Source organism: Homo sapiens, chromosome 22 (genome assembly GCF_000001405.40).
Source record: "Homo sapiens chromosome 22, GRCh38.p14 Primary Assembly".
Lineage (NCBI taxonomy): Eukaryota > Metazoa > Chordata > Mammalia > Primates > Hominidae > Homo > Homo sapiens.
The window spans coordinates 24029165-24053919 of NC_000022.11; the positions used below are offsets into that span (position 1 = coordinate 24029165).

Consider the following 24755-nt stretch of genomic DNA (forward strand, 5'->3'; position numbering starts at 1 on the left):
CTAACATGGTGAAACCCTGTTTCTACTAAAAATACAAAAATTAGCCAGACGTGGTGGAGCATGCCTGTAATGCCAGTTACTCAGGAGGCTGAGACATGAGAATCACTTGAACCCAGGAGTTGGAGGTTGCAGTGAGCCTCAAGCCAAGGCCTTAAGCCGAGGCGCTTGAGCTCAAGGGTTCAAGACCAACCTGGACAACATAGTGAAACCCCGTCTCTACAAAAAAACAATTAAAAATTTAGCCAGGCATGGTGCCATGCATTTGCAGTCCCAGCTACTGAGGAAGCTGAGATGGGAAGATTGCCTGAGCCCAGGAGGCTGAGGCTGCAGTGAGCTGAGGTGAGATTGTGCCACTGCACTCCAGCCTGGGCAACAGAGTGAGACCCTGTCTTAAAAAAAAAAAAATGGTAGTTGCTAGTAAAGGGGATTATACAGTACATGTTCAAAGCCCCCACAGTCTTCCCAATGTGTCCATTATTCTGGCTTCTTCTTAATTTTGCTACTGGAAATTTTGGAGTAGCTGAGGAAGAGTGGTAATGATGGAGTGGAAATAGAAGGCAGTGGGCAGAAGGGGTGCTGGTCTCATGGACCTAATGTATGTGATGAGTCTATATGAGAATCATTTTTTAGGTTTTCCTTGATGAAATGTTGTGTAGACAGTAAAACTGTATACCTACAAGTATGCCTCAGTTCAGTATGTGTCTGTGCCCAGGAGACACATTGAAAAGCAGTGCCCAGCTTAAAACTTGGGTTCTGCTGCCCACCAGCTGGGCAGCCTGAGGCAAATCACCTAACGTGGCAAGCCTGAGGTACCTCCCTATAAAATGGGAGCTGGTCTTTGTGAGTTTTTGATTAGCATGTAATACTTGGGCATTGAATAGCTTTTTGCTGGTACTTTTATTAGAGAATTGGAAATTTTGTTTTCTGCTTTATGGAGTGATGTTGATGATGCATAAGTGATGGCCCAACAGCCTGAGCAAATACAATTTATTCTATGGCCATCAGCAAACCTGTTCGGAGCTCTTGCAGGGCATCAGTTGTGGCTCTTAGCTGAAGCATAATAGCTCACAGCTGTGCATGTCCAGGGGCAGGCAGGAGACTCTTTGCTGTCACTTTTTGCTGTGCTAGAAAGAGTACTGGGCTTTGAGTCCTATTTTTGTCTCTTTTTAGCATTATGACTTTGGGCAGGTCAGCTAGTCTCCCTAAGCCTTGGTTTCCTAATCTGGAAAATGGGGATGATAATGCCTATTTTGTAAGGCTGCATTAAATTCAAGTGAGATAATGTGAATGTGCTTTGTAAATGTCTAGGATGGACTGGAGATTTGGAGAGGTGCCAAGTGCTGCTGTTTTTAGATTATGTTAAAGCCAGCACAGGTGCCCTTTTAGTGGGGAGAGTTGACTTGAGTTTTAACATAGAACAATTTTGAAAATAATTAGGAAGCCTGAAATTTGTATTTGTTCTCCTACACTGTGGACTGTTTTCAGGGTGTTTGGGTTCTGCTGATCATGGTACTCAGGGAGCTGTTGCTTCAGGGAATCCAGGTGCCTTCTTTATGGAGGAGGTGGGAGGGATTGGGCTGGGGCAGGGACTCAGACAGCATATGGGGCCAGACACCCCACTCTGGGGTTCCTCACTGTTTTTTTTCTCCAACTTGCCTAGTTATTTAGTCATTCATCTGTCCTGAGAGGCCATCTCCTGTCAGCTCTGCGATTGGACTTGCACCTACCATAGTCCTGGAGACAAAGAAGCATATGCCCCAGAGGAAGGCACAGGCACACCTGGCACCATTCTGGTAGTGGTTGGATGCGTTCCTTTGAGACATTACTTAGGAAGCAGATGAGCTTTCTTCCTTGTGGAATAGGTTGGCCTTGGCATGATGGCTGTATTGATGTTCTCCCACCCATGCACATGGACCCTGCCACCGCCACACAGAGACCTGATCCTTCAGCCATTAATGGGCCCCTCCCTTGTTTTTCCCTAGGAGGATCCAGTTGGCATCTAGGAAGACTTGCCATGACTTAGAGCTAGCACGTGTCCTGCAGAAAGTGGGTTGAGAGGCCTGTGTCTTGGCATAAGTGCCACTCTCTGATTTTTCTCCTGCCTCTGTGGGGTGGCAGGGGGCAGGAGAAAAGTCAGTGTGGGTGTGACATGGGGAATCCCAGCTAAGTCTGCTGGTCTCTGGTCAGAGGAGCTCCACGCTAGTCAAGCTATTGTCGCCATTTTATATACAAGGACACCAAGGGTTGTAAAGGATCAGGGAGTCAAGTATCTGAGACACAACTCAGCCACACTCTAAAATCTTCCTATTCCAAATCCAGTGTCCTTTCCATTTTTCCTTCTTACAACCCCAGGTCTAGGTAGGACAGCTGATTTTTACAGTAAGATAGTGGTGAAAAAAAATCGACCAATGGGTAGTTCCTGAGTGACTGCTCTGTAAGTGAAGGCAGCAGTTCAGACGGAGGCTATGTGATGCTCAGTGGGATTAGAGGTGTTTTCGGATTCAGTGCACAGAGCCCAGTGGGTGAGCAGCAGAGAGTGGCTGTGAAGTGGGGGTTTGAGAGGCTCTCCCACTTCTTCTAATCTCCAGTGGGCTCCATAGCTGGCCCCTGGGGCTATAAGTTCTGCTTACTGGGAGTCATCAGGGTGTGGCTTGAGCTGCAGGTCTGGCCATGGGCTGTCGGCCTGCCTTGAGGATGACCAGAGCCTATCTGAGACTTTATTTGGAGTAATGTCTTTGTATTTTGAAAACAAGTTCAACTTTGTTCCTAATTGGAAACTATTCTATTGATTGTTTACTTCTGGATATTTAAAGAAATGGTAAAATATGGAAACAAAATTTACCATTTTACCCACTTTTTAAGTGTACAGCTCAGTGGCATTATGTACATTCACATTGTTGTGTTACCATCACCACCATCCATCTCCAAAACTCTCTTCATCTTGAAAAGTTGAAATGCTATACCCATTAAACAGTAACTCTCTATTGCCCTCTCCCTCTCTGGCAACCACCATTCTACTTTCTGTCTGTATGAATTTTCCTATTCTATTTTCCACCTATAAGTGGAATCATATAATATTTGTTCTTTTGTGTCTGGCTTATTTTACTTAGTGTAGTTTTTAAAGTTTATTTCATGTTGTAGCATGTGCTAGAGTTTCCTGCCTTGTTAAGTTTGAATAGTATTCTGTTGTATGTATACACCACATTTTGTTCATTCATCTGTTGTTGGACACTTGGGTTGCTTCTTACCTTTTGGCTATTGTGATAATGCTGCTATGAACATGAGTGTACAAGTGTCTGTTCAAGTCCCTGCTTTCATTTATTTTGTGTATATAGCCAGATGTGGAATTTCTGGGTCATGTAGTAATTCTGTACTTAATTTTCTGAGGAACTGCCATACCTTTTTCCATAGTAGCTGCACCATTTTACATTCTCACCAGGAATGTACAAAGACTCCAGTTTCTCCAGGTCCTCATCAATACTTGTTATTTTCTGGCTTTATTTTGCTTTGATAACAGCCTAGATGGAGGGTTTTAATGCTATAGTTTCTACTTTTTTTCATATTGTATAGTGGTCCCAGTGTCCATTTTGGCATAGCTTATGATAAAGTTGCAGTTTCTGGCCAGGCATGGTGGCTCACTGTAATTCCATGCCTGTAATCCCAGCACTTTGGAAGGCCGAGGTGGGTGGATCACCTGAGGTCAGGAATTCGAGACCAGCCTGGCCAACATGGTGAAACCCTGTCTCTACTAAAAATACAAAAAATTAGCCAGGCGTGGTGGCAGATACCTGTAGTCCCAGCTACTCAGGAGGCTGAGGCAGGAGAATCACTTGAACCCGGGAGGTGGAGGTTGCAGTGAGCCGAGATCGCGCCACTGCACTCCAGCCTAGGCAACAGGGAGAGACTCCGTCTCAAAGAAACAAAAACAAACACAAAAACTGCAGTTTCCAAACTTTTGATTAGCAGTATTCTTTTTTTTCTAAATGTGGAACCCAGGAGATAAAACAGCTATCAGTCTAGGAAAGGTTTGAGTCTTCTTTGTCTGTGAGAAAGTACTTCCTTCCTTGCATGAACCCTTAAGAGAACTCAGAGCCTATTGTGAAAGCCTGTGCTAGAAGTCATTGCTGTAAGCACTGGTGACAGTGGCAGTCATTTTAAATTTATTTTATTATTATTTTTAATAGAGACAGGGTCTCACCTTATTGCCCAGGCTGGTCTCAAACTCCTGGGCTCAAGCAGTCCTTCCGCCTCAGCCTCCACAAGTGCTGGGATTACATGAGCCACTGTGTCCAGCCCCTAGCAGTTATTTTAATTGATAAAAGTGGAGCACATGTTCAATCTGTCTGTTTGAGGCTTATCCCACTGCCTGCTGGGCCCTTCCAGCCCCTTCTGCCAGCCTCTCAGCTAGGACTTTTAATGGGTCCTCCTCCTGCCCTCCCTGACGTATTTGGTAGTGTCCATATCCCCATCCCAGTTCCTCGGGCCAGCCTCCCAGGTGTCAGGTCCTGTGAGTCTACCTCCTAGTGGGATTCCCCTTCATCCCTGCTGTCACGGGTCCATCTGGGATCCTGGCATCTTTTTAAAAATAAGAGCTTTGTAATTTACATGCCATGTAGTTTCCCCTAAAGTGTACAAATTCAGTGGTTTTTAGTATATTAACAGAGTTGTGTAACCACCACCACAATCAGTTTTAGAACATTTTTGTCATCCCAGAAAGAAACCCTAAACCCCTTGGTAGTTGCTCCCCAGTTGTCCTTCTCTCCAAGCCCACTAAACCAGCGGTTCCCATCCATTTGGCACCAGGGACTGGTTTCTTGGAAGACAATTTTTCCACGGACCAGAGGCAGAGGGCAGGGATAATTTCTGGATGAAACTTTCACTTCACATCATCAGGCATTAGTTAGATTCTCATAAGGAATGCACAACCGAGATCCCTCGCATGCACAGTTCACAATAGGGTTTGTGCTCCTATGAGAATCTAATGCTGCTGCTAATCCGACAGGAGGCAGAGTTCAGGCAGTAATGCTTGCTCACCTGCCGCTCATCTCCTGTTCTGTGACCCAGTTCCTAACAGCCCATGGACCAGTACTGGTCTGTGGCCTGGGGGCTGGGGACCCCTGCACTAAACTATTTTCTATCTCTATAGATTTGCATATTCTGGACATTTCATATAATTGGAGCCAGAAGATACATGCTATTTTGTATATGACTTCTTTCATTTAGCATAATGTTTTCAAGGTTCTTCTGTGTTGTAGCATGTATCAGAAATTTATTCCTTTTTATGATTGAATAATAAATACCCCTTTATATGGACATACTTCATTTTATTTATCCATTCATCAGTTGGTGGACATTTAGGTTATTTCCACCTTTTAGCTTTTAGAAATAATGCCTCTGTGAACATTCATGAACAAGTTTTGGCGTGGACATGTTTTCATTTCTTTTGGGTAGATACACATAGGAGTGGAATTCCCTGGTCATATGCTAGCTCTGTTTAACATTTTGAGGAACTAGCAGACTGTTTTCCGCAAGGGTTGCACCAGTTTACATTCCCAGCAACAATGCATGAGATTCTAAATCTCCACATCTTTGCCAATCCTGTCATCTTTTGCAGCCTTCAGACTAGTCTGCCTATCTCTAATTATTTTTCTATTATCTTTCTAAAACATAGGCAAAACATTTTGTTCTCCCTAAAACACCCATTGATTCCCTGTTGCCTACAGGTAAAGTTCATGGCCTCTGTGTTGTCACTTGGCCCTCAACTACCTTTCCATCCTCCATTCACATCCCTGCTCTAAGGCCTTGTCTTCTAGTTTTCCCATCACACCTCGCTCTCCCTGCCTCTTTGCTTCACTGTCTTCCACTGCAGTGTATTCCATTCTTCAAGGCTTGATGCAGTAACTTACTCCTTTGCCTTCCTTAATCGCTTTGAATTGTTCTTTGCTGCCTTTAGATGTTGCCTGTGTTTCTTTTCGTATCATTCAGGTTTTGAAAAAAATAATAGGCTTGTTACCTCTGCTAGCAGTGATCCCTGGGGGCAAGGATTGTTCTCACTCTTTTGTGTGCCTGGCACCTGATGCATTGCCAGGAAATGATGAATGCTATCGTAAGGGACCAAGGAGCTCCTTGTGTGTTAGACCACACCGCTGTCCCAAGGCAGCTCTTCACTGGCCTGTCTGCATAGAGCTCAGGGAAGGACTGGTTCCTGGTGGACCTTGGCACTGTGACCTTCCTGGCTCTTCATAGGCCTTGTCTCAGTTTGTCCTATTTCCTTTCTAGGAGAGTTGTGGACTGGGGCAACCTTTGCCAGTGATGAGAAGTGATGCTCGTGGCAGTGCTGAATCTCTCTGAATATGGTAAGGACTGATGCCTGCCTATTTTGCGGACCTCAGTGTTCTTTTGTTACGTTACTCCTGGGGGCGAGGGGCATTTTCCTGTTAGATTCTGAAGGCTCTTATTATGGAGTAGCCTTCCTCCCAGGAAGGCTGTTGGCACCTTTGAGGGTGTGAGATTGCTTGCCTGGTGGTTGAAGCGGCTTGCAGGACCTTGTCACAGTTGCTGGAAAGACATAAAGTTAACATGTTTTGTTGAAATCTGTTGTTCCATTACCTGGGTCTTCTACTGTGTTGAGCTGTTGCTGGGGTGTCCCCAGTGTCTGTTGCTTTTGCAGTGGACAGTACCCAGGACATACTTTCTGCACAGATTGGCATAACCCTCCCCCCTCGGCCCCCCACCCCCCGCCCTTCTTTTTTTTTTTCTTTAGAGGATGATTTTTTTGTTCATTCCCCACATCTGAGAAGGTCATAGCTTTTCAAGGTAGAATAGATCATATGCTGGAGCAGAATTGTATTCATCTGTGGGTATTTGAAGAGATGAGTGACATCTCAAAGCAACTTGTCTCTTCCACCAAACCCCTGTTTCTAGATTCGAATTGCAGCCTTAAATGCCAGCTCCACCATTGAGGATGATCATGAAGGAAGCTTTAAAAGTCACAAAACCCAGACAAAGGAGGCTCAGGTACGTAATGCGAGGTCTTCTCTGTAGGTGGACCTTCTCATTTCTATAGAGGGAACCTCATTTTAAATACATTTAGGCATCTCCTCAGTGGGGCTTTAGGGGGAAATTCCATTTTGAAAGATGGCTAGCTCTCCATCTCCTGTTAAACCTGTTTTACTTAGCAGACGATCATATAGAGGAGAAATTATATTTATTCTATCAGTGTATGTGAAGGCCAGCTCAGCCCCCAGGCCTACTTCCATGCACCCCATTCTTTGTGCAGCCCTCAGGAGTTGGGATACCCAGGGAATGGTAGAATATTAATGGTAGATGGTGTTTCGAGGTTCCCTAGTGTATTGCCCTCACTTTACAGTGTGATGAGACTCTTGAGGGGAGCAGCCTAGACTGGGATCACCCTCCAGGTCAGTGAGGGAGCCAGGTCCAACCTCAACTCCCTAGATTGTTGGTCACTCCTCTTTCCCATGAGGCCTGGCATCTCTTCCATTTCAGCCTTCTTCTTTCCATCCATTCATCTCCATACCCTTCTCCTATCCTAGTGTAATAAGAGTTTGCTCCTGCCTTTGTTTTCCCTGAAATAAACATATGCCTTCCCTTCCACCCCGCTGCATTTTATGGTAGAAATCAGGACAGTTCCAGAGCTGTCTCAGAAGTCTACTAGTCACCTGTCCCTAGTCTGCAAGGCATGTCAGTGAGGCTCAACCTACCCAGTGCCCCCTCCCTCCCACAGGAGATTGTCATCCTCCCCAGGCAATGATCAGGCTATGGCAGAGTGGTGAGTAGAAAAACATGGAAACCAGGCCGGGTGCGGTGGCTCATGCCTGTAATCCCAGCACTTTGGGAGGCTGAGGTGAGTGGATCACTTGAGGTCAGGAGTTCGAGACCAGCCTGGCCAACATGGTGAAACCCCGTCTCTACTCAAAGTATAAAAATTAGCTGGGCGTGGTGGTGCATGTCTGTAGTCCCAGCTACTAGGGAGGCTAAGGCAGGACAATAGCTTGAGCCTGGAAGGCAGAGGTTGCAGCGAGCTGAGATCATGCCACTGCACTCCAGCCTGGGCGACAGAGTGAGACCCCGTCTCAAAAAAAAAAAAAAAAAAAGAAAAGAAAACAATGGAAACCAGCTTTTGTTTGTTTATTTAAGAGATAGGGTCTCACTCTGTTACCCAGGCTGGAGTGTAGTGGCATGGTCACAGCTCATTGTAACCTCTAACTCCTGGGCTCAAGCAGTCTTCCTGTCTCAGCCTCCTGAGTAGTTTAGGACTACAGACACCAGGCCACCATGCTCAGCTGATTTTTAAATTTTTTTGTAGAGACAGGGGTCTCTCTATGTGGCCCAGGTTGGCCATGAACTCCTCGGTTCACACCTTGGTTTCCTAAAGTGCTGGGATTACAGATGTGAGCCACTGTGCCTGGCCTGCAATGGAAACCATTCACACTGAACATTTTACTCACAACCCTTCTGATATCATATGTTTGGGGTATTTTCCCCCCATACCAATTCTCCAACTCTCCATATACCAACTGGGTGTCCTACAATTCAATTCTGACACTAGCTACACAGAGTTAGTGTCAGACTCCACAGCACTAACAGCTCATCCCACAAAACTGCCCTCACTTCAGATGCCAGTTGCAAGCGTTGAGTGCCAGGATACCTACACTTCTGTCCAGCCGGTCTGTAAAATCAGGGATTCTCACCCCCTACCCCTTTTAGATTTGATAATTTGCTAGAATGACTCACAGGACTTAGAAAAACACTTTACATTTACCAATTTATTATGAAGGATACAACTCAGGAACAGCCAAGTGGAGGAGATATTTATGGCAAGGTATGGGGTGGATTCACAGAGCTTCCGTGCCCTCTCCAGGTGCGGCACCCTCCCAGCACCTTGATGTTGTTCACCAACTTAGCAGCTTTCTGAACCCTGCCCTTTAGGGTTTTTAAACAGAGATTCCATCACATAGGCATGATTGATTAAATCATTGGTGATCAGCTCAATCTCCAGCCTCTCTTCCCTTCCTGGAAGTTGGGAGGTGGGGGAGCTGAAAGTTCCAGCTATCTAATCACATGGTTGGTTCCTCTGACTGTAGCCCCGCCTTACACACATTTTTGGCTTAAAAAAGACAGATCTTTATGCTGTATGAAAACATCTCTTGTCTTGATTTGCAGGAAGCAGAGGCTTTTGCATTGTACCACAAGGCCCTTGATCTGCAGAAACATGACCGGTTTGAGGAGTCTGCCAAAGCCTACCATGAGCTCTTGGAGGCGAGCCTGCTGCGGGAGGTGAGGCATCAGCAGGCCAGGCAGTGTGCCGTGGTGGTTAGTGCATGGGCTGTGGGGCTGGGTACTCTGGGCCTTACCTCTGCTCTCCCATTTCTTGGCTGGGGAACCTTGAAAACATTATTTCACCTCTCTGCCCCTATTTCCCCACCTCTAGGTATCTGCCTCATTGAGTTTTTATGAGGGTTGAGTAAATCCAGTGAAGCATGTAAAATGATTCCTGGTGTAAGTGCTTGTTAAAGGCCAGCTATCGTTATTACTTAATCTTCACAACCACTCTGCCCAGTAGCTGGGTTTTACAAATGTGGAAACTGAGGCTTAGTGAGGTCTTGATGGCTCAAAGCCATCCAAGTAAGTGAAGCATTCGAACCAGGTTTGGAGTCCATGGTTTGCTGATACCTAATGATCCTACTGGCAGCACATTTTAGCAAATGCCATTTGAGTAAAAGACCATGAGCTTGGGAAGTCTGTATAGACATGCCATGCAATTTTGAATATAGTCAGAAGGACTGGGGACACTGGTTACAGTAGAGAGGGGCAGGCAGAGCAAGACCTGGTCCCAGCATGGGGACTGTGGTAGTGGTGAGTGAGTTAATCCTCGAGTTGACTGGAGATGTCGACTGGAGGTTTGGGAATTGGTCCCAACCTGAAATTGATTTAGGAAGGTGTATATTTCATTAGGAGGAAAGGCGTTTGTTTTCAAGTTTTCATGTTTGTTTTCGCCCAAACATGCAGATGATGTGCATTAAGGAAGCAGATAAGCTCCATGGGTATTTACTGGACTGCACAGTCCTTGAGTTGAGCAGAGTCTCCTGTAGTGCTAGGCATGCAGACACTTATGACTCAAGCAAAAACCTTGATGGTTTTTGCTGCCGATGAGATAGAATACTGAGTTTTAATTGTGAGAAGAAAGCATCTGTTCCTTCTCTCACCCACGGTTTTTCTTTGTATTCCTAATTATATAGCTTGTCAAGATTCTTTGGTTACTGGTTACAGTGCTTTGGAATTAGTGGTATGGGACTTGTGACCTCCTCCTCTCCTGTTAGTAGGAAGTGGGTGAGGACCCAGAGAGGGAAAATTAGTTTATTCCATGTTTACTGAGCTTTGGTTATGGACCAGTTGGTGGGCATGTTGGTCTTCCCTCTCAGGACGTGGTGGAATGCCAGGTGGGCCCAGCATCCAACAGTTGCTAGGCAGAAACCTTTTACCTAAGGGCACGGTCATGTGTCAGCCTTTTAGTTGTAGGTGTGTGCATCTTTCTGTGCACAGTGTATCACTTTCAGCCTTAAAAGGTTGTTTCAGCCTTAAAAGGGACAACATGCTCATTGTAAACAATGGAGAAGTACAGAAAATACATAGAACAGTTTCTTTTTACACTCATATTGCATTGGCATACTTAATGTTAATTACATAATTACAGTTTTGCAGAAGATTGGCATAGATAGGCCCTGGACCCCAGCTGACTCCTAAGAAGCATTCACCCTGACTGGTGGGTGTCCTAGAGGGACTTGCTCGGGCAAGCCTTTCAGGGTGGATGGAGAGTGGTGCTGAATGTAGGTAGTCTGTTAGGTGGAGGTTAGTTAAAAGCATCCACTGTTATGTGCATGTCCATGTGTATTGCTGATTGTTTAGTTCGAAGTAGACTCACTTAGTCTCTGTAAATTTGTTCCCACTATTCTTTGAAGAGTTCTGTACCTGGAGGGACAGAGGTAGCTGGGATCCAGCCCTGGTCAGCTGGTTCTTGGGGGCCTTTTTGTATGATAAGTCAGATGACGGTAGAAGATAACTGAATGGGGCTTCATTTGAGCTTCTCAGTCTTAAAGAAGTTCCTTAAGACCTCCAAGGTAGGTAGATTCTTGGATTAGTCAAGGGATGCTTCCTGAGGGTGGCATGTCTTCAGATCTTACCTGTTCAGAACATGAAGAGCAATGTGTGGAAGCCACCTGCCCCAGGAAAGAGCTTCTTGGTGCCCGTGAGTTTTTCTGTTAGAAAATGTTTTAGTCTTTGTCCTGTGGTTGGAGCAATAGTTTTCTAATCAGCAGTTTCTTAGAATATAAGGTCATTAAAGCTGTAATGAAATAACTTTTCATATTAAGCATATTTGCAATTCTGATGGTCTTTCAGCTCACTTTAACTTTTGCTATTTAGGGTAGGAATTATTTTTCTTAATTACAGAGGTCAGACACTAACGTTTTAGTTAAATTAGCAATTGTCTATGCTCATGTGATGAGTTATAGAGTTGGGAGCTCAGTCTCTTGATTCCTAATCCTGGAGTGCCTGCAGTGAAGCTCTAGGCCTTCTGCCCCCAGGCAGCCTGCTGATACTTTGTCTTTTATCTTATACCTGGAGCTGCTGACTGGGTCTACCTATGCTGTAAATGTTATTCGCTAGGCTTGAACCCTCAGGCATGGCAGTAGTGGTGGGGCAGTTTCTCTCTGTTGGATGCCCAGACTCTCTGCAAACTATTAATACCTCAGGGTGGTCTGTTCTTCTCTGTGCGCTTGGAGTAGGAGTGGTCTTATAAGAACACATGGTGCAGTGCCTTCATTTTCCAGTGGTGGACAACACTAGACTGGCTCAAGGGCCTGCAGCAGAGGCCAGCCTGGAAGCCAAGTATCCTGCTGGCTGCTTGCTGAGGCTTCAAGGTCTAGTTGTCACTTCTGTTCTGTTTTGTTCACAGGCAGTTTCATCCGGTGATGAGAAAGAGGGGTTGAAACACCCTGGGCTGATACTGAAATATTCCACTTATAAGAACTTGGCCCAGCTGGCAGCCCAGCGGGAGGATCTGGAGACAGCCATGGAGTTCTACTTAGAGGTGTGGTTTTGGCAGTGCTTAGCTACCTTGGTGTTTTGAAAGCTCTTGGTGGAGGGGATGAGGTTGCGGTCTTGTGGGCCAAAAAGAAGAGTTTGTAGTGGTGGATCACCAAGCTATAGTACCCAAGGCTCTAGGGTAGGTCCATAGGTGATAACAATTAGTACTGACCAGGCCTGGAGAGCAGGGGCTGGGGCAGAGCACATGCTTGGATGCAGAGGCCTGCATGTGAATTCTTCCTTTGCTGCTCAGTGCACGTGTGGCTGTGAGTGAGTTATTCAGTCTCTTGGTATCTCTAGGTCTACACCAATATAGTGGTAATAATAAAGAAGAGCATAGTTGTGAAAGTTAAATGAGTTGGTATGCATAATAGTATCAAAAACAAAGTCTGAAACTGAGCATTCAATATATTAATACTTACAGTCATAATAGTATTGCTGTTATTTCATGTTACTATCAGTCTGTCTCTGGGCACCTCTAAAGCACCAGACACTGCGCTGTTTGCTTCCTACGCATACACTAATCCTCATGCCATCTTGCAAGGAAGGAGTCTTTATCCTCACTTTAGTGATGAGGAAATGGAGGCTCAGGATCATTCTGCTAATCAGTGTTGCAGCAGGGATGTGAACCAAGGTTTGTCTTCAAAGTACATGAGTTTTCTTGAATCCCATAAGACTCTCATTTTTTCAAATTGTTTTAAAGACAGGGTCTCAGTCTGTTGCCCATGCTGGAGTGCAGTGGCACAATCAGGGCTCACTGCAGCCTCGACTTCCCAGGCTCAAACGATCCTCCGACCTCATGCCCCCAAGTAGCTGGGACTATAGGCATGCACCACCACCACACCCAGCTAACTTTTTGTATTTTTAGTAGAGATGGAGTTTCGCCATGTTACCCAGGCTGCTCTCGAACTCTTGGACTCAAGCATTCTGCCCACCTCAGCCTCCCAAAGTGGGATTACAGGTGTGAACCACCAGGCCTGGGCATATTTTCTTTTCTTTCTTCTCCTTTTACTTATTAAATATGTAAGGAATACAGATATTCAGATTGACAAAATATATCAAGACAATGGGGAAACTGAGGCAGGAGGATCACTTGAGGCTAGGAGTTTGAGACAAGCCTGGATAACATACTAAGACCGTGTCTCTACAAAAAAATTGAAAATTAGCTAGGTGTGGTGATGTGCCTCTGTAGCCTCAGCTACTCATGGAGCTGAGGTGAGAGGATTGCTTGAGCCCAGAAGTTTGAGGATGCAGTGAGCTATGATCACACCACTGCACTCTTGCCTGGGCAGTAGAGTGAGACCCAGTCTCAAAAAAGAAAAATTTTTTTAAAAAATTCTAAGTTAAATAACTTGGTCCCTGTAACTTTTTATATGCCATTATCACTCTAGATCTTGGAAACGTGCGACTCCAGGAAAGATGAGCTGGCATTACTTGTCAGTTATAAGATAGTCATGGCACTTTTGCCATTTCCCTGGGAAGTTCAAGTGGCTGTGCCAGTGCCGTGCTCCTCCCGTCCCCGGGGTGCATATTCAAGGAGAGATCTGACTGTGTGTGTGTGTGTGTGTGTGTGTGTGTGTGTGTGTGTGTGTGTGTGTGTGTGTGTGTTTGCCCTCTGCTTGTGTCGCTTCCAGGCAGTGATGCTGGACTCCACAGATGTCAACCTCTGGTATAAGATTGGACATGTGGCCCTGAGGCTCATCCGGATCCCCCTGGCTCGCCATGCTTTTGAGGAAGGGCTGCGGTGCAATCCTGACCACTGGCCCTGTTTGGATAACCTAATCACTGTCCTGTACACCCTCAGTGATTACACAAGTGAGTCATGCTTTGATGCTTTCTTCCATGTGCCAGTGGTTTTTGGAACAGCAGAGGAAAGGCAGTTTGGGTAAACTGAAAGCCAAAGTTAACACTGAAGGGGTTTGCCAGACTGTCAGGGAGAATGGCAATGTTCTTAGATTTCTGCTTTATTCTGCATCTCTTTCTTGATTTGTTAAATGCCTTGTAGTAATAAAGTAGCATGTTTTCTGAATGATTTTACTTTTTTTTTTTTTTTTTTTTTTTGCTTTGCAAGGTTTTGTTTGCTTGACAGAAGTGGCTATCTTATTTCCTCCCTGCACTGTCCCATTTTGTGTGTCTTAGTCTGTTTGGGCTGCCATTAAAAAAAAATACCATAGATTGGGTGGCTAAAACAGCAGAAATTGTCTGGGTATGTTGGCTCACGCCTGTAATCCCAGCACTTTAGGGGGCCAAGGCAGGCAGATCACTTGAGCCCAGGAGTTTGAGACCAGCCTGGGCAACATGGTGAAACCCTGTCTCTTCAAAAAATACAAAAATTAACTGGACTTGATGGTGCGTGACTGTCATCCCAGCTACTTGGGAGGCTGAGGTGGGAGGATTGCTTCAGTCTGGGAGGTCGAGGCTGCAGTGAGTCGAGGTTGTGCAATCGCATTCCTGTCTGGGTGACACAGTGAGACCCTGTCTCAAAAACAAAACAAAACAAAAATCAATATTATCTAAATCAGATGTGGGTAAGACTTGAGGTACAATTTGTCCTGAGACAAAATTCCTCTCCAGTTGTAAACTTGTGAATACAGATAAATTAATGTGCTTCCAAAATATAATGGTGGGACAGATATAGGACAAACATTTCCATTCCAACAGGGAGAAATAGGAAAGCAGGAAAGTGTGATGGGTCCCAAAACTTAGCAAACTTAGCAAGGCAAATTTGAGGTCCTGAGGCTCAGGAATAATTCTCTTTGACCTGATGCTCCGCCCTTGATGCCCACTGAGGTGGCAACATCACCCTCATGGTACGTGGGTGGAGGGACAAGCCCCACCCTTTTGGCTGGGCAAGGGCTCTACCCCTAAGATGCTAGGTTGAGACATCCTGGCCTATGCAAACTGGAGAAGTAGCCCCACCCTTTAAGGAACTAGCCCTAGCCTCTTGGTCTGTGATGGGAGTGGCGGCTCAGATGATCTTTGAATCATCTTTGAGGGTTCTTCTTCCCTTTCCTTGAAAGATAACATATATTCTTGACTTTCTTTCATTCTTTCTCATTTTTTTTCTGTTCCCGTTAGTCCCCATTAGCAGTGTTTCTGCCAGTATAATCCCACCTTTCTGGCTTCTGAGATACCTGATTAAATCTGTGGTTCATGCCCACACTGATCTTATAAGAAAATTGTTGGTCAGTCACACTCATAGTGTTCTCAGAACAAACTTTCTCAATTTTTGCAATATGGATAGACAGAATTTTCTAAATCTTTTAAGTTCTGGTTCCTTTTTGCTTAACAATGCCCTCTTATTTTCTCTATTTTAGCATTTCACTATAAGCAGTCAGGAGGAACTGGGCTATGTCTTTAATACTTTGCTTAGAAGTCTCAGCAAAATAGCCAATTTTATTGCTCACAAGTTCTACCTTCTACCAAACACTAGAACATAGACGTAATTCAGCCAAGTGCTTTGCTACTTTATAACAAGGATCACCTTTTCTTCATTGTCCAATAGCATGTTCCTTATTTCCATTTGAGATCTCAGCAGAAATGCCCTTGATGTTTATATTTCTACCAACATTCTGTACATGATTATTTATTCTCTAGTAAGATGGAAGCCGTCTCTGTACCTCTTCTCTTCTTTCTGAGCCCTCATCAGAATCACCTTTTTTTTTTTTTTTTGAGATGGAGTCTCTGTCACCCAGGCTGGAGTGCAGTGGTGCGATCTCGGCTTATCGCAAGGTCCACCTCCCAGGTTCATGCCATTCTCCCGCCTCAGCCTCCAAAGTAGCTGGGACTACAGGCACCCACCACCAAGCCCGGCTAATTTTTTGTTTTTTATTTTTAGTAGAGACAGGGTTTCACCGTGTTAGCCAGGATGTTCTTGATCTCCTGACCTCGTGATCCGCCCGCCTTGGCCTCCCAAAGTGCTGGGCTTATAGGCGTGAGCCACTGCGCCCAGCCCAGTATCACCTTTAACAATCCTTACATACCAATATTCACTTTTTCCAGTGTACACCTCGAAACTCTTTAAGCTTATACCCAGTTCTAAAGCTCTTTCCAACACCAGGTGTGGTAGCTACAGGTAGCATGCCTGTAGTCCCAACACTCTAGGAGGCTGAGATGGGAGGATCGCTTGAGCCCAGAAGTTCAAGAACAGCCTGGGCAAGATAGTGAAACCCCATTTAAAAATACTTTTTTTTTTTTTTTCATTAACTGGGTGGGGTGGTGCACACCTGTAGTCCCAGCTACTTGGAAGGATCACCTGAACCTAGGAGCTAGAGGTTACAATGAGCCATGATTGTGCCACTGCACTCCAGCCTGGGTGACAGAGCGAGACTCTGCCTCAAAAAAAAAAAAAATTTGTTTCCACATATTTAGGTATTTGTTACAACAGCAGCCCACTTGTTGGTACCACTTTCTGTCTTAGTTAGTTCATGCTGCTATAATAAAATATGATAGATTGGGTAGCTTAAACAAGAATTTATTTCTCTCAGCTCTGGAGGCTGGAGAGTCTTTTTTTCTCTTCCTTTTAAAAAGACAAATAGGAACAGGATAGAATGTGTTGAGATAGATGAGGCCTTGCTCAACCTTCTCACCTCCAGTTCTTGTTCTCCATAACCACTTTTTAAATCTTTTTAATTGAGGCAAAACATACATACAATAAGGTACATAAATCTGAGACCTGTCAGTTTGTATATGTGAAAACATGTCAAGATACAGAACATGTGCAGCGCCCCAGAAGGCAGGTTACTTTGGGTCCCTTCCACTTTTTACAACCTCCTAAGGCAACCTTGATTTCTCCTTTTTGTCACCAAAGATGAACTTTGCCTGTTGTTGAACTTTCCCTAGGTAGAGTCAGGAAGCGTGTAGCGTGTGCTTTCCTCAGGCTGGCCCCTTCTGCTTGTCATCCTGTCGGTGAGCGCACCCATGTGGGGCACAGCAGTCTCTATGTCTTGTTATTTTGTGTGGTCTATTATGTGCATTTGCACAATGTAGCCATTCTGTACATGGGCATTTGGGTTATTTCCAGATTTGTGTTCTTAGTCATAACCTGCTATGAACATTCTTGTATATGTCTTTTAGTGAACATATGCACTCGTTCTGTAGGTTGCCCCTCATTTCACTCCCACCAGCAGAATATGATAGTTGTACAGGGCTGTGTTTTGACTCTAGCAGTTTCTTCTTCTGGAGGCTTTGAGTCTCTTCTTGGGTGCTCCTCCCACAGTTTGGGACCATCTTTGGGGTTCAGCCTTCCTTCCTCAACTGACTTCTTTAGTTCTTTGCACCCCTCTCTCATTGTAGAAGAAGTTATGCTTGGTAAACTCAAGTCTTTGTGGGAAGATTTAGGTTGGAGTATTGTATTAGGGTTCTCCAGAGAAACAGAACCAATAGGATGTATGTACATATATAGAAAGAGATTTATTGTAAGGAATTGGCTCATGTGGTATTGGTAGCTGACAAGTTCCAAGATTTACAGGGTGAGTCAGCAAGCTGCAGACCCAGGAGTGATGGTGTATAGTTCTAGTCCAAGTCCAAAGGCCTGAGGACCAGGAGAATTGATGGTATAGTTTCAGTCTGTAGGCTGGCAGGCCCAGGAAGAGCTGATGTCTTGGTTTTAGTGAGAAGGTAGAAAACCCCCCCCACCGCAATGTCCCAGTTCAAAGGTAGTCAGGCAGAAAAATTCTCTTATGCGGGGGAAGGTCAGCCTTTTTGTTCTGTTCAGGCCTTCAACTGATTGGATGAGGCCCCCCCACATTAGGGAGGGCGATCTGCTTTACTCAGTCTACTGATTTAAATGTTAATCTCATGCAAAGACACCCTCACAGACACACCCAAAATAATATTTGGCCAAAGTCTGGATATGCTGTAGCCCAGTCAAATAGACACATACAATTAATCATAACAGGGACTGAACTGATACATACACCTGTGAGAGCCCTGATAGATTTGACAGTCATTTAAAACAAAAAATTAAAGCAGCATGTTAAATTGACTCTCAGTGGCATTTTATGTATTTGATATGAGTAGGGAGGGATGCTGCTGGGTTAAGGCCTGCGGACTGCCTCTTGTTCTGAGATTTCCCAGGCCTTCCCTCTGCAGGACTGTAGGGTGGCTAGTGAGTTTAGCTTAATGCAGCTAATGTGCCTACTGAGAACCAGCATCATCCAAGTGCTCAGTGCCTTCTGGGTTTTCTCTCTGGAAGTCACTGATGGCTACCCTTCAGGTTTCATGTGGTCTCAGAGAAACCATGTCCCTTATTTGTCTGATGCAGGCACCTTTGGACCATCTATTGAGCAGCGTGGACTGTGCTGGGATTGTACAGACCTCTCCTTGCTCACAGGCTGCACAGCCTTTGTGCACCTTGGGGCGTGTGGCCCTGCTGAGCATTGTGGCCAGTCTCTGCTCTCTCCTCCCAAGCACACTAGGAGCGCATCACTTTCTCCTCTCCCAAGGCTTCCATGCGCAGATTTCTACTTCTGCTCTGGTTTTCCTCTGTGTGTTGCTTCTCACTCCTAGGTGCTTCATTTTCTAGTTATTCTTGATAGGAGTGACTTGCAGTCTACCTGCACCAAACTGAGAAGCTGGGCAGGGCATGATAGTGGTCCCAGTGCCCAGGCAGAGCTGGCACCCTGCTGCAGTGTTGTGTTTCTCTGTGTGTTCACTGGTGAGACCTGGACTGTTCCCAATTACAAGTGCTGAAAGCTTTTGTAATTTATATCATAGTTCTGCTTTGTGAATCCATGCCATCCCATTTTTTTCTGTGTGTTTACCTGTTACTGTCTCCATTCCTGGAGGAGCTGGAGTTGGCACAGGCTTTCCAGATCAATAACTTGAGGATGCTCATTATGACATTAACTTGAGTGATGTACATGTCTTAAATTGTAGGCAGTAGCTTTAATAATAGGTTTTTTTTTTAAAAAAAGGAGGAAAATTGGAAAATACAGGTAAACAAAATTCAATAAGTTTTATGTGTATAATGGAGTCACACTATGTGACCTCTTTTGTCTCCTGCTTCTTCCCAGTACTGTATCTTGGCCTTCTTTCTGGTCAGTAAGCACACTCCTTGACCATCTATGTAGTGGCTGCTTGGCAACCTATTGTGTGGAATTGGACATACTTTATTTAACCAGGTGCCATGGTGGGACAGAGTGGTTTTGAGATTTTTTTTTTTCCTTGAAACAGGGTCTCACTCTATTGCCCAGGCTAGAGTACGGTGGTATGATCACAGCTCACTGCAGCCTCTACCTCCTGGGCTCAAACGATTCTCCCACATCAGCCTCCTGAGTAGCTGAGACTGCAGGTGCACACCAACATGCCTGACTAATTTTTGTATTTTTTGTAGAGATGGGGTTTCATCATGGTGCCCAGGCTGGTCTCCAACTCCTGGGCTCAAGCAATCTGCCCAACTCGGCCTCTAGAGTGTTGGGATTATAGGCGTGAGCCCTGTGCCTGGCTATTTCCAGATTTTTTGAAGGCTGTTTTCCAATTAGCCAATAGATAATCACTGTGAGCCCTGTTGGATTTTTGCAGTAGTTTCTAGAGGTGGGATTCCCAGGTCATCGAGGATCTGTGTGTAATTGCCTATGGTCCTCCAAAAAGATCCTACGGTCTGTCCTCTGCCAGAATCTTTGGGTCTGCTCACCTTGCAGTGCCCAGTCTACTCTGGGTCTTATTACTAACCTGACTGAATTAGTTAAAGTGGTATCTCATTATTTTTTACCAGGCATTTCTTTGATTCTAGGAGCAGGATTTTCCTGATGTTAACTGGCAAGGCCAGAGCTTCTGAGTGCGGTCTCAGAAGTCATAAACTGTCTCTTTCCCCGCCAGCATGTCTGTACTTCATCTGCAAAGCTTTGGAGAAGGATTGCCGGTACAGCAAAGGGCTGGTCCTCAAGGAGAAGATTTTTGAGGAGCAGCCTTGTCTCCGGAAGGACTCTCTCAGAATGTTCCTCAAATGGTAAGTCCTGCCTCTTCCCATGCCATGTGTGCACGCTTACTGTGTGGCTGGTGAAGGTCAGGAGCACACCACATTCTCCCCTCAGGTCCCATGGATGGAGCCCCTGTGCTCTGGGGCTTCATGCCCTGCCGCAGCCCCTGATCTAGTGAACTGACCTTGGACTGCCTTGTTGATCACCCACCTCTACCTAATCTTGGCAAGGCCTCCTCAGGCTGCCTGCTGCCCGCCTCTCCTGCTGTCCTGCCAGCTTTCAGTGTTCGCTAGCTGTCCTCTGGATGCTTGGGGCAGCCTGCTGCCCAGCTTGCCTCCTGCCTTTCCCCTTCCCAGGGTTTTGTTCTCAGTGCTGCCCGAGTTCAGTGTCCCAAACATGCCTCTGATCATGTGCCACCCCTGCCTTGCCTCCAGGACATAGCCCATGCTCAGTTGCATTACCAAAGAGGTTCTTTGCAGCCTGACCCCATAGTTCTCCCACGTCACCTCCTGCTTTTCCCTCCCAGGCTCCTTTTGTTAAGACTGCCCCAAGTCCCTTGCAGTTTCCAGGCGTGGTACCATTGTGTGGCATCCTGTCTTCTCAACCTGGCTCCCACTATGCTCTAAACTCTCATGCCATCTTCCCACCTCTCCACCTGTCCCGCCATTGCCCCTCCTTTGCCAGGTGTCTTCCCACAGACACACTTCTGAGGTGACCCAAGAATACCTGCCCCTCCTGCCCAGACTGTCCTGATGCCTGCCAGCAGGGCCACACCTCAGAGCTGCTCACTTACAAACTTATCTGTTTCTCAGGTCACCTCTCTGTTGCTTTCTGAGCTCTAGCTGCCCTTCCCCACAGCCCTCCAGCCCAGCCAACTCCTTTTGCCCTCTGGTCTTCCTTGGCCCTGGAACACACCTGTAGGGGTTGATTAGTAGTGATTTATCTTGGCGTCTATCCCCTGTGAGCCTGTCCCTCTCCTGAAGGAACTACCTGTTGGCAGAGATAGGAACTGAGGGAACATCTGTCATGAGGGAGCTAACCTTGAGGGAGACAGATAAGAAGCACATGAAACAGATAAATTCATGAGTAGCTCTGAGGTGTAACCCTGCTGGGAAGCACCAGGACAGTCTGGGCAGGAGGGCAGGTGAGGTTAGGTCGCCTCAGAAGTGTGTCTGTGAGAGGACACGTAGGGCCTCCAAGCCCCTGCCCTTTCTGTATTTTTGGGTCGTGATACACTTTGGTGAGCTTCACTTTTCCGATGACTTTTTGTTGGCATGGGCAGTATAGGATAGTTACATTCTTTTAAGATTTTCTAATAATAATTGAGAGAAAGATTTTATTTTTCTGTGGCTTTTCAGATATTATTGTGATAGTGTTAATACATATGAAAACTCTTTCTCTGCCCAGTTTTGAATTGTCAAAGGAACAAAGAATATTAGTCATTTCTAGTGTATGTGGGTATTAAGAAGGCTATTTACTGCCCTACCCAGGCCAGACTGAAGTGGTTATTTTATTTATAGGAAGAAAAATACACATTAAAAGGTATTAACCTAAATGCATTTTTGTGTGTAAAATTTCAGCCTCAGTTTTAGTTTGTAACATGATAATTTCTCCCTGTCTCACATGCTTTTAGTGACATGTCGATTCACGATGTTTCGGTGAGTGCAGCTGAGACACAGGCGATTGTAGATGAGGCCTTGGGGCTGCGAAAAAAGAGGCAAGCGCTGATTGTGCGGGAGAAGGAGCCGGACCTGAAACTTGTGCAGCCCATTCCTTTCTTCACGTAGGTTGTCTAGCGTCTCTGGGAGTGCTGGGTCGGCCAGTAGGCCCTGTTGTGGGATGCTGCCCTGCACAGGAGGGAGAGACCTTGAGGCTTGATCCTGGGTTGGTGGTATGAATGGGGGCTGGGTGCACAGTGGCCAAATGGTTGGAGGTGCATGCTTACTTGATTACTAAGAAGCAGGTCAGCTCTCTCTCAAGTACCTCCAGTCTCAGTCCCTTTTTGCTGTTGCTGTTCTTGACCCCAGCCACCTGCCACATTCCTGTAAGGCCCTTCTCAGCCTGCCCTATCTAGAGGGCGAATGGAAACTAACATTTGCCAAGCACTTGCCAGGAGGAAACTGATGTTCAGAGTACTTAAATGGGGAGCCCAGAGACAGTCCCGGGTCTGGGCTTCTCCGCTCTCAAGTCCATGTTTTCTCTCTAGGGCCACGTGGGGAGCCCTGCGAGATGGGCCTCAATATAGTCCTTGCCAGCCCCATGATGTGAGAGTCTCTCTCTCTCCAGGAAGGGCAAATTGGTATCGGCGGTTCCCTGGAGTTGGGATAGTTTAGTCCCTTAGCGAGCTCTGGAATTCAATTTCTGTATTTAAAATTCTGACATTGAATCTTTAAGTTTAGCATGACTTAGCAGTAGCATTCCATTTCTACTCCCCACCCCCTACCTCCACCCCTGTCTGCCTACTCTGAGGGAGCTCTGGCCTGGATCAGACTGACCTGACCTGGGTCCAATCCTGGCACTCCTAATGCTGTGAATTGGATGACTCTGGGGACATTAGGAGCCACTCCCTAGCAACGGGGAGAGCAACATCTCTCTCATAGGGTTGTCATGATAATGACAAAACATGTAGGGCTAGCACAGAGGCAGCACATAGCACCCACTCAGGAAGGGCTGGCTCTGATCCGTATTATTATGACTGGCTGTGAGTTTCAGCATGTAGAATTTCCCAGAAATATTTCCATACCCGAGCACCGAGATGGCCAGGAAGAAAGGGCTGTTCTTCAGGCTGCTCTAGGACTCCTGTCTGGTGCCCTTTCTTGTATTTTGTCAGCTGGATTAGAGTCCTTCTCCCATCTGAGTGTGTGCTCCCCAACTACAGAGGGTTGGGGTTTTGGAAGGGCCCTGGGGTGCCTCCCTGTTACAGTGAAGGAGGAAAAGGCCTGAGAACACTAGAAGGGATTGTGGTGATGTGACTGGAGAACAGAGGGCTGGGAACTGGTGCCGTGGCCACCCTCCATGGTGTAGGGGGAGGGCTAAGTAGAAGCAGGAGGGAGAAGTAGAAGCAAGAGGGAGTTAGGCTCAGTAGTTAAATTTGGGATTTGGTCATTAAAGGAAGAGTGTAGATTCCCTCTCTGGTAGCAGAGGACATGATGCTTTTATAGTAATCTCCATCTATTCCGGGGGTCAGCAAAACTTTTCCTTTAAAGAGCCAGAGAGTAAACATACTAGCCTTTGTGGGCCATGTACAATTTATGTTGTATATTTTCTTCTTTTTCTTTCTTTTTTTTTTTAAACAATGCTTTAAAAATGTGTAAACTAGCTGGGCATGGTGGCTAACGCCTATAATCCCAGTACTTTGGGAGGCTGAGGCAGGAGGATCACTTGAGTCAAGAGTTCAAGACCAGCCTGGGCAGCATAGTGAGACCTCATATCTACAAAAAATAAACAAAATTAGCCAGATATGGTGGCACACACCTGTAGTTCCAGCTACTTGGGAGGCTGAGGGGGAGGATTGCTTGAGCCGGGGAAGTCAAGGCTACAGTGAGCTGTGATGGCACCACTGCATTCCAGCCTGGGTGACAGAGCAAGACCCCCATCTCAAAAAAAAAAAAAAAATTAAAAAATAAAATTTGCTGCAGGGCACAGTTTACCACCCCTGGTTTCCTCAGTGCCTAGTAGGCATGAGCAAGAGCAAGGCACGAGTAAGGGAAATGGTGTATTTAAGGCATTTGACACAACCCAGCCAGTAAGCAAATTCTTCCTGTCTAAATGTAACACTAACTGAAGGCAGGAAAAAGATAGAAGAAATTCCTTCTAGCCCTGGGAGCCTCCATCATTTAGATTCTGGAATTTGAAGCACTGTCCTTTTTTTTCTTTTTTCTTTTTTCTTTTTTTTTTTTTTTTTGAGACAGAGTCTCACTCTGTCGCCCAGGCTGAAGTGCAGTGGCACAATCTCGGCTCACTGCAAGCTCTGCCTCCTGGGTTCACGCCATTCTTCTGCCTCAGACTCCCAAGTAGCTGAGACTACAGGTGCCCACCACCACGCCCGGCTAATTTTTTTATTTTTAGTAGAGATGGGGTTTCACCGTGTTAGCCAGGATGGTCTCGATCTCCTGACCTTGTGATCTGCCCGCCTCGGCCTCCCAAAGTACTGGGATTACAGGCGTGAGCCACCGCACCCAGCCAGCACTGTCCTTTTTTTCTTGAGACAGGGTCTCACTCTGTTGCCCAGGCTGGAGTGCAGTGGTGCGATCTTGGCTCACTGCAACCTCCACCTCCCAGGTTCAAGCGATTCTCCTGCCTCAGCCTCCCAAGTAATTAGAATTACAGACATGCGCCACCACCCCTGGCTAATTTTTGGTATTTCTAGTAGAAACAGGGTTTCACCATGTTGGTCAGGCAGGTCTCGAACTCCTGACCTTAGGTGATCTACCCGCCTCGGCCTCTCAAAGCGTTGGGAGTACAAGCATGAGTCACCGTGCCCAGCCTGAAGCACTGTTCTTTTATTCCTTTCTCAACACTTCCTGGATGCTGGCTCTGTGCAGGGGACTGTGCTCTGTGCTAGGGGCGCAGTGTGGCAGGGCCTGGTCCCTTGCTACAAGTGATACCAGGGGTAATCAGTCACCCAGAGAAAGCAGCACATGCCTCAAGCTGATGGGGGCTGTGAGGAGAGAAGCGCAGTGCTGGAAGGCCTCTGAACAAGGTTCCTGCTGCTCTAGGGGTTGGGGA

The 24755-nt window shown here is 46.1% G+C and overlaps 1 protein-coding gene across 50 annotated transcripts in view; it reads left to right on the forward strand.

Annotated features, from left to right (window-relative positions):
- The window catches only part of CABIN1 (calcineurin binding protein 1), a 167325-nt gene that overhangs the window by 17861 nt on the left and 124709 nt on the right, over positions 1 to 24755 (forward strand). For 27 of the 50 annotated variants that reach the window (XM_047441218.1, XM_047441219.1, XM_047441226.1 and 24 more), the window contains 7 exons: positions 6280 to 6356; positions 6925 to 7017; positions 9184 to 9297; positions 11975 to 12109; positions 13740 to 13920; positions 19927 to 20056; positions 21661 to 21810. In XM_047441218.1, coding sequence (XP_047297174.1) covers positions 6354 to 6356; positions 6925 to 7017; positions 9184 to 9297; positions 11975 to 12109; positions 13740 to 13920; positions 19927 to 20056; positions 21661 to 21810 — 806 coding nt within the window. In that variant the 5' untranslated portion in view covers positions 6280 to 6353. The remainder of the gene's footprint in view (positions 1 to 6279; positions 6357 to 6924; positions 7018 to 9183; positions 9298 to 11974; positions 12110 to 13739; positions 13921 to 19926; positions 20057 to 21660; positions 21811 to 24755) is intronic. The other 23 variants (XM_047441232.1, XM_005261419.3, XM_047441229.1 and 20 more) reach the window with 3 other exon arrangements.